Raw genomic sequence first — 12,550 nt, 5'->3', positions numbered from 1 at the left:
TGTTTACTTAAGACACATATCATTTCTAATTTAGCCCATACCCATCTGAAGTGAGCATGTTACCACCATTGTGGAAAAACATTACGGTACAGAAAATCTAAGTCACTTGCCTAATGTCACAGAAATAATAGCAATAGAACTTTCATTTGAGCCAAGGCCAATTCACTGCAAAGTTTGTGTTTTGACACTATGCCAGCGTTTGCTAAATTATGAATCATGAACCACTGGGGATACTCAAGATGAAGACCACAGATGTCACCCACATGTCGAATTTCAAATAAAAAAGCTATTGTTTTTTCAATTTTCTTTCAACCCCAAATCAAGGAAACAGATGTAATGCTAGTCTCTCATTTTTATCAAGAAAGAGAAAACTCCAGATTCAGAGCCTTCAGTAGGCAACAAAAGTAGGTAGAATTCAATAATACTTGTGTTCTATTGTTTATATTATATTTATTTGGCTTCTGCAAATGTATTCAACTGATAAAAAGTTCTAGAATTTCTATTTAAAATGGTTATATATTTTTCTCTTAATTTAATTCTGATAAGGTAAAAAGCAGAAATGACTTGATTTGAAGAAAACTATTAAGTTAGAAACTTTTCAAATGGTACCTAGAATTGGAAAAATATGAATACCACAGCTAGGAAAATACTGCACCATAATATGCTGCCTTATGATTTTGAGGTGGGATCCAAGTCTTAGTGTTGTTTGTATTTTAATTTTTAAACAATAAATCTCAGGACTAAGAGGAATTTTCAAGAACATCATATGGGAGATTTATCTGAGTAATAATAAAACTGGTCTCCCACACAGCAGGCTCTGCGTCAATTATTCTTTCTCTATTGCAATTCCCCTGTCTTGATGAACTGGCTCTGTCTAGGAAGCAGGCAAGGTGAACCCCTTTGGTGGTTACAAATTTGGGGACTTGTCCAGGATTGCCCTTGTGGTTACCTGCCCATGATTCAGCAGCCCCCACCTCCAGCAATGGATCCAGAAGCCACCTCAAGCAGCCTCCTAGTTCTCTTGACCTGGGGGCCAACTCTGGTACTCTCTCTACTGGAGGGGCACTGCCGACCCAATGTGCATGGATTTAATTGCAATGGAGAAACAGTCATGAAGAGACATCCATTAACTGTAGCCCTATCACAGGGTGTCTGTCTGTAGCCTCATCATGGGGGGTCTGGATTGGTGAGTATCCCAGGCATTGCCAACGCCTCCTTCCTTCTCTCAACTGGTTCTGTAGCCCTATGGTGTGGTGTCTGCAGCCCCATTATGGGGTCTCTGTTTGTAGCTCCACCACGGGGTGTCTGTGTCTGTAGTGCCATTGTGGGGTGTCTGTTCGGCTCCTGGGGCATGTCGGTTGGCTCTTTCTAACTAGTAGGAAGAGTCTTGGTTTGGGAGACTTATCTTCAATCAGGAAGATTTCTAGGAGGTTTCTCAGATGGAGAATAGAAGGATAGTTTGGAAGGGATACTCTTGGAGTCCTTGGTTAGGGATGTGATTTGGAAGGCCTTTTGTCTGTCTTGTCTTTGTGAGTATTTGTATATGTGGAAGGGATCTCAGAAGGGGTTGCTAATGGAAGTCCAGCAGGCCTAACTCAGAACCCTCCTTATTTGTCTGATTACATTCAGCGAACCCTAATGAAAGCTCAACACTCCTGACTCTCAGGGTAACTAACTGCTCTTCACCCTGCCCAGAGACCTCATTATGAATTATCATATTAGAGGTCATCCCTCCTCACCTGGAGTGGATCCAAAACAGAGAACAATGGGAAAAAGTTTGAGCTTTGCCAGGCTGATATTGGGTGCTGAACGAGGTGACTAATGTCTGTTTTGTTATGTGTATTTTGCTGGGATGGAAAATGTTAATTCAGTTCCCCATGCAGCCCATTGGGCAGCATCTTGCAAATTAACAATCTTGCCTATGGTTTCATAAAACAGTAAAGGGTGATTTTCTCTTGTAAAGTGGCTTGAACCCCACAGCAATAGCACAAATGAGCAGGGTCATCAGAAGCCGCTCCGTTCTTCTGGAAGCTGCAGAGAAAGGGAACTCAGAAACCTGGTACGCCAGACGAAAGGGTAAGAAATTCTTACCGGCTAACTTTCTGCTCTCTCTCTCTCTCTGTGTGTGTCTGTCTCTTTGTCTGGGTAAAACAGTAAACTATCGGTCTGCTCTGCAAGGGTCTGATGAATAGAAAAATGGATTTGTGAGACTACTCTTAAGTTGTAGCAAATCTGGTGTGCTTTGTGCTAAGAATTTGTCTTCCTGTGTTCTGTAGTGGAGAAAGGAGTATCATAGGATAGAATGTGGGTTTAGGACCCCTATAAGCCCACTTTTCAAGCCAGCCCTGCAGGCTGGTCAGTTACAAACTTTGCTGCGGGGCCCTGAAAGCAATACCAGATGACATTTCTGTGTCTTGTTTTGTGTCCTTAAGAGCTTAACCTTGTGACCATGTGGGAATACTTTCTCTTGGTTTCCATCATGTAGAGACAGGAATTTGTGGCTTCATGTCATAGTTGGACCTCAACATTTTATTGAGCAGTTAAAAGCCTGTGCAAGCTTGAAATTGGCTTCTCTGGGTTCCCTCTGGGGAGAGCAATAGAAACTGCTCAATGCTGTAACTCAGTAGCTGAGGCTTTGCCTTTTGACAATGGTGGCCTGGGTTGATTCCTTTCTGGGTTTTATTTATGTAAATTTGCCATTTATTGGGGCTCCCCCACTCCCCATGAATAGCTTCTGATTTCTTGTCTTGAATTTTCCTTTCTGTAAAATACCCTGAAGGAGATTCTAAATCTTGTGAAAAAAAAAAAAAAATCTTGCAAAAAAAATCCTGTAAAAAAAGAAACCATATCTTTGAGACACCTATGTGTCCATGGTTAAGTTATAACCTTAGTTAAAACTTATAAATTTCATGTGGGAAGTTACCTGTGGTAGAATTCAAAAGCCAAAAATATTGGCTGGTTGGCATGGCTAAAGTTGAGTAATAAAATTTTTAAAGGATTTTTTTTTAAAGAGTGCTATGGTTAAAAGTCAGTGTAATTAAAAGTGGATAAACAAGTTTTAAGTATATTTAAAAGGCCTTTATATTTTTCTCTTCTTAGAGCATTTTTTCCATTTTTATTTTTCTTCTGAAAAGAGGTTTTTTCTTCTCATTCAACTGAATTATTTTTTTCCATTTTTTTTTTGTCTTGTCAACCTTAATGCAAACATGAAAGGCCCTGAGATAACTTCTGGTAGCCTGGGACTCCTTGGAAAAAACAGGAGGCACCACAGACCCCATTTTGGAAAAAAGCTCTGTTTTCCTCATGGAACCCCAGGAATTAAAAGCGAATAGATCCCTCTCAAAATCAAAAGCTGTTTTCTGTTTTGCATTGGGTTATCTGATGGTTTTGAGTTTTGGGGGTATCAGAAATTACTTCTCATTATGAGAGAGCTTAGGTGTGTAATAAGTATGTAGGAAATATAATGTAGTGGATGGCAAATAGTAGTTACAGAGGAATACTTGACTATGCACACTTGAATCAGAGAACCATGCTCTTGGCCACCTGGAAGATAAGGAAACATCCCCACTCCTCACTGGGGGATGAGACTCCCATGGGGGATGGGCTGATTACAAAATGGGCTGATTGGCTTTGAGTGGCCTTGGAATGAAAATCAGGGTAGAAGCACTGCACTGTCTTTTCCCGTAGTATTTCTTTGGGATATATTTGGGTCAGTGTATTATTGGCATATATTCCAAAATTATGTAAAACTCCTATAATTCTAATATGACTTAGTATATCTTATCAGTAATAATTATAATTATGTTAAATGGCTGTGTGCCATAGTTAACAAATTTTCTGGTAAATTGTGTCTTTAACTGTAGCTACCCTAAAATGTTTTTGTCATCCACAGACAATTGTTGTCTCATTTTGATCCTCTTAAAAGACGGTTTTATAATCTGCCATAAAATTTAACAAGTGCTCTTAAATGCAGGTTTCTGATTAATAACTCTGCAGATTGTAACATTAGAATAGAATGAAAATTTTCAAATAGAAGAGTGAATGATGTTTGATTTTCTTTGGGCTGTATTTGTATAAATATGTTATTAGTATGTGTTCCAAAATTTGTGGGAAACTTCTATAATTCTGATATGATTTAGTATACATTATTAATTATAATAGTTATGTAAAATTGTTATATGCCACATAAGCAACAAAAATTCCTAGTCAACTATAGCATTAATAGTGGCTATTGACTTTTGTCATCCACAGACATTTTGTCTTGCTTTGGTCCTTTTCAAAAGGCACTTTATAATCGGATATAAGACTGAGTGCAGGTCTTAGATAACTTTAAAAATTGTGCTATTGGAACAGAGGAAAAAAGGAAACTTCTAGGACTCTCGTGGAAAGCTGATGTGTTAAACATTGCTAATCCTTTTGTTTTCAGAGTCAAGATAACTTATTTCTTTTAAACATTGCTAATCCTTTCGTTTTCAGAGTCAAGATAACTTATTTCTTTTAAACATTGCTAATCCTTTTGCTTTCAGTGTCAAGATAACTTATTTCTTTAGTGCTATTTGCAACTTTAAACAAGTGAGTAAAATACACTCCTGTGAAAAATTTTGGAGCATATTTGTTTCTCTCTACCTGATTTCTCTAGAATTTGAGAACCATTTGTGAGTATTCTCAATTTATGGCAGTATAATTAATTGCATAAGTGCAATAAGAATGTTTTCTTTTGTAACAGGACACCATTGGAGAAACTGGTCATTTTACCAAGGCTTTGATTGGAATGGCATGCTTCCTTTAAAGAATCAAAGTTGACTTATAGAGCCAATTAAAGTCTGTTGGGGAATCTGGCCTCATACCTTGTCCACATAGAGTCCCTGGACAAGGTTCCTGCACTGTGGTAAGTAAAGAATGTCACTTTCTAACAGGCCCAGGAACCCCAAATTATCTTGGGACCTCAAGAGGAGAGGACTTTACTCAACTCATAGGTATTTGAGGGTGCCGAGACCAGCTTGGTCGGGGAGACCCTAACCCAGCGGCGCTAGAGGAGTTAACGCACACACACACAGAAATATAGAGGTATGAAGTGGGAAATCAGGGGTCTCACAGCCTTCAGAGCTGAGAGCCCTGAACAGAGATTTACCCACATATTTATTAACAGCAATCCAGTCATTAGCATTGTTTCTATAGATATTAAATTAACTAAAAGTATCCCATATGGGAAATGAAGGGATGTGCCGAATTAAAGGAATAGGTTGGGTTAGTTAACTGCAGCAGAAGCATGTTCTTAAGGCACAGATCGCTCATGCTATTGTTTGTGGCTTAAGAATGCCTTTAAGTGGTTTTCCATCCTGGGCGGGCCAGGTGTTCCTTGCCCTCATTCTGGTAAACCCACAACCTTCCAGCATGGGTGTTAGGGCCATTATGAACATGTTACAGTGCTGCAGAGATTTTGTTTATGGACAGTTTTGGGGCCAGTTTATGGCCAGATTTTGGGGGACCTGCTCCCAACATGAGGGTACAAATCCATGGCTGGGCTCAGCTTTTAAAAAGTCTTATCTGAGATTCTTCGTGGAACAGAGTTTCATCAAAGCCATTTTAAAAAGCCTAAGTGAAAAATAATTTTTCTTGCTGTATTTTGTGCAAATAATCAGGCCACATACAGTAAAACTAAAATTTATTTTGTAAACTGTAAATCAGTTCTATCATGATTTGTTTTTAATAAAAATGGGGACTGGAGAGATAAAAATAATGCTTCCAAAGAAAAACTATGGTACGCTGCTGTTAGCTGTTCTTGAGGGTTTTTTCTGCAGTTCACACTAAATTCTAAATTCTTTTTGGGTTAAAAGTCCCCAAACGATTGCTTTCAAATCTTTGCTTTTAAAATTGTGAATTGTACTCCTCATCTTAGGACTCGTTATTTACCTTACAGTGTACTGCTCACGTAAATACTGTATTAAAACTATAGCTGAGAGTACGAATGTTTTTGCCACGCAAGTCTTGGAAGCCCAGCGAGGCCTGCATGAGTACACTCAAAAGACAGTTGCAAAGCAGTTCCATTCTTCTCACTTTGGGCTTCACTCCCATTCCCACTACATCCCCCGTCAGCAGGAAGAAGCCAGAGTGATCAATGGCCTTTTCCCATCTTTATAGCCTACACCTTAAGATTAAGGTGTTATAAAACCGAAAAGGAGGGATTGAAATTGCCTTGGCAAAATTATGACTGAGACAGTGAAAGACATCTAACTTAACTGACTCTATCTTGCTTCTAAACTCGAAGCTGTCTCTGTTTATTCTTGGGCATAGGCTGAACTAACGTTGGGGAAAAACTTAATTTGTAGTTCATAATTTAAACAAAGGCAGTAATAGCCCTTTCCAAAAGCAGACCTCCTTCCTGCCTGGGGACTAGATTTCCTTTATAGGACTAACATTAGCCACAGGATTAGAAATTATGGCTTTGGAGTCATGCAGCTGGAGGCTACAAGATTCTGACCTGTCCTAAACTGCTCCTAAGATCAGTGCTTGACATATTTTGCAGACTCCGCACTTGATGAGTCAGCTGGCCCCACCCAGATTTATAAACTGGCTCATCTGATCTTGTGGCCCCCACCCAGGAACTGACTCAGTGCAAGAAGACATCTTCGACTCCCTAGGATTTCATCCGTGACCAATTAGCACTCCTGGTCACTGGCTCTCCACCTACCCACCAAGTTATCCTTAAACCTCTGTTCCCAGAATGCTCGGGGAGACGGATTTGAGTAATGAAACTCCAGTCTCCTGCAAAAAAAGAAAAAAAAAAAAGAACATCATATGTATCCTCCCATCTGATACTAGAATCCCCTTTGTACTTAGTAGGCCATCCAGAACAGTTTTATATTGCTAGTGTAACAAATTACCACCAATTTAGTAACTTAACATCAATGTATTATCTTACAGTTCTGGGGATTAGAAATTCTAATATCAAGTTTGTTGGGCTCTGTTCTTTCTGGAGATCTAGGAAATAATCTGCTTCCTCACCTTTTTCAGCCTTTCAAGGGTCCTAAATTCGTTTTTTATTTATTTATTTATTTATTTATTTATTTATTTATTTATTTGTTTATTTATTGAAACGGAGTTTTGCTCTTATTGCCCAGGCTGGAGCACAATGGCATGATCTTGGCTCACCGCAACCTCTGCCACCTGGGTTCAAGTGATTCTCCTGCCTCAGCCTCCCAACTAGCTGGGATTACAGGCATGAACCACCATGCTGGGCTAATTTTGTATTTTTAGAAGAGACGGGGTTTCTCCATGTTGGTCAGGCTGGTCTTGAACTCCCAACCTCAGGTGATCCACCCACCTCGGCCTCCCAAAGTGCTGGGATTACAGGCGTGAGCCACCGTGCCTGGCCGGGTCCTGAATTCTATGGCTTAGGGCCCTACAAACCTATGACCTCTGATTCTTGGTTACAGCTTCTTCTCTATTTCTTATATGGAGGCTTGTGATTACATTGACCCACCTGTATAATCTAGGATAATCTTCCCATTTCAAGATCCTTTCTGTCACATGTGCTAAGTCCCTTTGGCCATGTAAGGTAACATATTCACAGGTTTGGGGGTTAGAACGTGGGCATATTTTAGGGCTATTATTCTGTCTATACATCATCTTACAGTTCAATATTTCGAGTGATGATAGTACAGGTCTCAGCTTGTAAAAATTTTTTGCACTAAACTATTTCAGGTCAAATTCCTTCAAGTCCATATAAAATCTAATAGTTCTTAAAATTTGAAGACTGATCAATTTCCTTCCAGTCTTCTATTTACTGGGATAAACTCCTTCAGAGAAATTACTTACTTCACCTCCGAAATAATGTTTTAAAGTTGGCATCAGTTTTTATAGATATTTCTTTTAAGTATGAAGCACAGAACATAATATCTTCCAAGTATGAGCTTTCTTTCTATAGAAGTATCCCAAGTTTGCACTGTCTTTTTTTTCTAGTCAAATCATGATATTAGTTTATGTTGAGTTTCCTGTTGACTATGGAATTCAAAGTTATTTTGTTAGATTCTCAACTAATCTTTCTTCAGCTTTGTTTTTGAATCCTGAGTCCTACATTTTCAGTTTTGTTCCTTCAGTTTTTAGATGACCCTTAACAATACTAGTGTCATAGGACAATTATGAAAAGTAATAGTATTCTATGTAAATTGCTTAGTATATGACAACATTAGCTGTTTCTTATCCTCCAGTCTTAACATTCATCAGTCATATATTTCTAATGTGGCTAAGTAAAAAGCCATACCAGAACGGAATAAATTGGTAGCTTGTGGGTTAAAGATTTAAATGTTTACAGGAGCCAGTCAAGGGCATTTATGTATAAAACCCGGACTAGCTTTAAGGTGGCACAGAGAAGAAGGACTCTGGCAAACCATAAGCAGCTACACTCAGATGCATGAGCTTCCCACAGTTCAAGCAGGCATCACAAAACCAGTCAGGCTACAACCACATTACTTACTGTTTTATGTTGAGTTCCCCAGAGCAGAGCCTGAGACAAGGTTTCTTGTTAAATGGATACATTAGAGGTGTGTGCTCAAGAAAATATAAGTGAAAGAAACAAGATAGTGTACTAGATCTAGAGTAAGCAAGAACTTGGTCTCAGTTGAAAACTCACTTCATCTAATCCAGGCAAAGGGACTTTGCACATGTGACTGATTCAGGTGAGTCCAGGATTGGGCTCACCTTAAGACAAAGGGGTGACTTTTATACCGCATTATCGGTTAGTTACAGCTGAAGTCAGTGCCCTTCTGGGCAGAAAGGGACACGGGGAAGAAATGGTTCATAGCCTCCAGGATGAGGGAGCTCCACTTTGGCCAAGGACAATTCACCAAAAGGGTGCGGCTGTACCCTGTTAACTGCTAATTCTCCCAGGGCATGGGGGTAGGCACATAAGCCAGCTAGTTAGTGGATCTGGATGGAGCATCACATATCCAGTATGCTTTTACTGTACCCTAAAAGGCTGGCAAGTCTGCTCCAGCAGCAAGAAATTGGGAGTATATTGCTGGAGGTGGTTGTTTAAAGCAGAGAATCAAAAAAAAAAAAAAAAACAATCTAGGAAATTTGCCAGTGGGGAAACTCCTTAGAACCCTCTCAGGAATTCTCACATGTGCCCAGTGGGAGAATTAGAGCATGACTAGCCGTTGTACAGAAAGCAAAGAAAACAGTTCTGCGTTAGCCAAGAGAAGCAGAAACAATCAACAGAAAGGATTTCAATGGTAACTTACTAGCCTAGAGAGCTTTGTCATGTTCGCGCAACCAATTCCCTGTCCCATCACTGTTATGAAGCCAAGGCCCCAGTGAGAAAATCAAAGGGGGCAGACCAGCTTCAAAGTGAGGGATGAGGAAATCTTCAGTTGCTGAGCCTCAAGCCTGATGGAGGAAAAGAAAATTAAACCAGACACAATATGGACATTTTAACTGCATGAATGTTTAATAATTTTTTTTTTTTTTAAAAAAAAACAGGAAGGTAAAAAACATAAGGGAATGGAGACTTGGAACATCAGGAAGTAGTGGGGAAGAATAAACTCTGAGTTCTGTGTGCTTCATCCAGTTGATATTGCTTAGACAAATACGATGCCTCATTTCCATGGCTGGATTTAGAGCCAGCCATGCCATAATGCCTGTCCATACATTTTAGGGAAGCAAAATTTATCTATGCACCTATAATCCAATTAAGCCACAAGTAAGGTTTAGAGGGAGAAAAATCCTTCTTATGAAGGCCTGTAAATGTGGCTTAGGAACGCTAGTAAGCCATTCAAAATGCTGGTTTATTTTTTTTTCTGCATAACAGTTTGAAGAAACGTAGAAAAGATCACAAATCATAAAGAGAAATAACAGTGTGCTGCCAAAAATTTCCCTCCAAAACTGTTCTTGACATTGATGGAGAAACTGTGTTTTATGTCTGTACATCACTGTATTTCTAGTAATAAACACAGTACCTGAAGTTCAATAGAAGAACACATTTGCAGTAAATGAATAGGTTAATTTTTATTTTAAATCTTTTGCATAAGATAATTTCACTGTGTGGTAGCCTTATTAAATGTAAACAGTGCTGATTTTAAGATAGCAAAAATCGGGCCATTCAAAGTGGTGCAGTAAAGAAGTGTGTATAGCAGCAATAATACAGCTATTATAAACCTGTATTTATTATTTATGTTCTTGTGAAAAGTACTATTAATAGACTATTACTAATAGATAGTGAACTATTCTAAGATCAAAAAAAGAATATTTATATATTTACATGACTGAGTTGCATGCAACTTTTCAATGAAATTTAGAAAGCATTCTATTACATTATTCTATTAAATTCTTACAGGAATCTCGTGCAATTAATATTATTTACTCCATTTCACAGTTGATAATACTAAGGCTCAGAGAAGTTACATATCATGTTTAATGTGACAGAACTTATAAATGATAGAAACACGATTCTAACGCAGGTCCATCTGTTGTCAAGCATAAGAAATCCTTAAAAGTCCCGTTTTTTGGATAAGCATGAAAATCACACACTCCCACACTTTAGCTTTCCCAAAGAAACTTCTTGGTTAGTGTAAATTCACAGACTTTCAATTAAACATTCGAAACACATTTTTTTTTGACATTTCTTTTCTGTATTTGGCATTACAAAAATAATCCGGGTTTAAAAAATTATTCACATATAAATAGAATGTGCTATTCCAAACTATTCCTAACTTAGGTTTCAGATACATGTCGCTACCACTGCAGAGATGAGAAACGCTTTAAGCAAACTTCCATGATTCTTGGGCAATGTTGGGTGAAAGCTAAATGGATGGATGGATGGATGGATGGATGGAAGAAAATGCATAATTGTTCGTAGTGTCTGGAAAAGGGTCATAAATGTGTTCTCCTTAATAAAATTTAGGATGAAGTTTATCACACTTACTACAAATAAAGAAAACAATTGTCTCTTTAAGAGGTCTCAGACTCTGGTTATTTGTTCTACTTTCAACAGCTGTGGCTACCAAATGAGAAATTTAATTTCCAATTGATAGAACTGACTTACTGAACTTGTTTTTCATATAAAGATATTTTCTGGAAACACAAAACTTTATCTTAAAATAATCTCCTTATTTTTCTTAAAGTCTGAGAGAAAAAGCAAGTATTTCTGGGGGAACATAATAGGAAATCTTCTATAGATAGCATCCTCAACAATAATGTCCTTTCATTATCATCTGCTAATTAACACACTGAATTTGTCTATCTTCATTAGAGTTATCACTTTTGAATTATCTGGAGAAAATCAAGTGGGAAATGTATACTATATATCTGAATTTGCTAATTAGATAATGATGTCTTTTCTTCCATGACATAATTGTTCTGGAAAAAAAAATCATTATTTATAAATTTGACACAGATATTTGAGCAAAGTGTAAAATCATTTTAATTTATGTATGTAAATAATCCATATCTATTAAAATTCAGCTTCTACCATGAATTGGCAAGTCCGGGTAATACTAACTTCAAATATAACCAAAATTTATCATTTCACATATACCCCACTACTAACTGAGACCAACACATCATCATTTCTTGCTGAGACTACTGAAAAAGCCTCCTAATTGGTGTCTCTGCTTCTCCCCGTGCCCATCTGCAGGTGTTCTTCCACACAGAGGTTAGATAGTTTCTTTGAAAATATGTCATATTCCTCTTCTCGCCCCAAAGCCTCTAACGGATTTCCAATTCACTCTAAGTTAAATCCAGAGTATCATAGATTACAAGCTTTAATGTGGACAGACTCCCGTCTAATACCTCTGACTTTGTGTCCTACTCCTGTCAAGTATAACATGGCTGGACATTAGTTAAAGCAAGCGGTGAAAATCGACTTTATTCATTAGCTACTGACAGTGGAGGGAAGAGCTGAGCTCCATTCCAATTTGTGCAGAGGTGACTGAGCATTTAAAGGGTTAATCAAAACGTATGCAGGGACAAGAACTGAGTCAGGGAAGTGAACAGTTACAAAAAGCAGGGACGAGGGGTTGGTTGAGTGAAATCCATCTGGATTTGCTAATTGGCATGCATTGAAGTTAGGCTTGTATCCTGCCATCTCACAGAGGCAGGGAGACAGGAGCTCTCGCTTCAGATGTTAGCTCAAACAAATAGTAAATTCTTTAGGTAGCCTTGACTTTTCTCAGGCAGGCATTTTAATGGGGGTGATGTGGGGCTGGTGAACAGGAGTGATCCTAGGGACAAAGCCTTGAACTATTATAAACCTGAGCTATTATAATAGCTTTGAGCTATTATAAATGTTAGTGTTTGTTCAGGTCTTTACAAGCCAAGTAAAGGTCTTTACCAGATCTTTACTAGGCTTTGTTGAGAAGAGGGGTCAGAGGAGGCTGGCTAGAGTTTGGTGAAGGACAGGATCTTTGTCACTGCTCTTATTACTATGCTGTTGCACCCACACTGGCATCCTGCTGTCCCTGGAATATGCCAAGCACACATCTTTGCCTAGGGTGCTTTCATGAGGGCACTTGTTCTTTCTTCCACCTAGATTGCTCTACTCACAGATAACTAT

At 38.5% G+C, this 12,550-nt stretch overlaps 1 annotated feature.

The window, feature by feature from the left end:
• Positions 6,092-7,291: an enhancer, noted in NCBI's record as "P300/CBP strongly-dependent group 1 enhancer chr4:31462532-31463731 (GRCh37/hg19 assembly coordinates)". NCBI's record gives its function as "activates an origin of replication core promoter dependent on BRD2, BRD4, P300/CBP, MED14 and CDK7 cofactors, with strong dependence on P300/CBP, by STARR-seq in HCT116 cells {active_cell/tissue: HCT116}" and the evidence as "EXISTENCE:reporter gene assay evidence [ECO:0000049][PMID:35650434]".

Source organism: Homo sapiens, chromosome 4 (assembly GCF_000001405.40).
Source record: "Homo sapiens chromosome 4, GRCh38.p14 Primary Assembly".
Lineage (NCBI taxonomy): Eukaryota > Metazoa > Chordata > Mammalia > Primates > Hominidae > Homo > Homo sapiens.
Note: the sequence above shows the minus strand (reverse complement) of the source record. Positions and strands in the feature narration are given on the sequence as shown.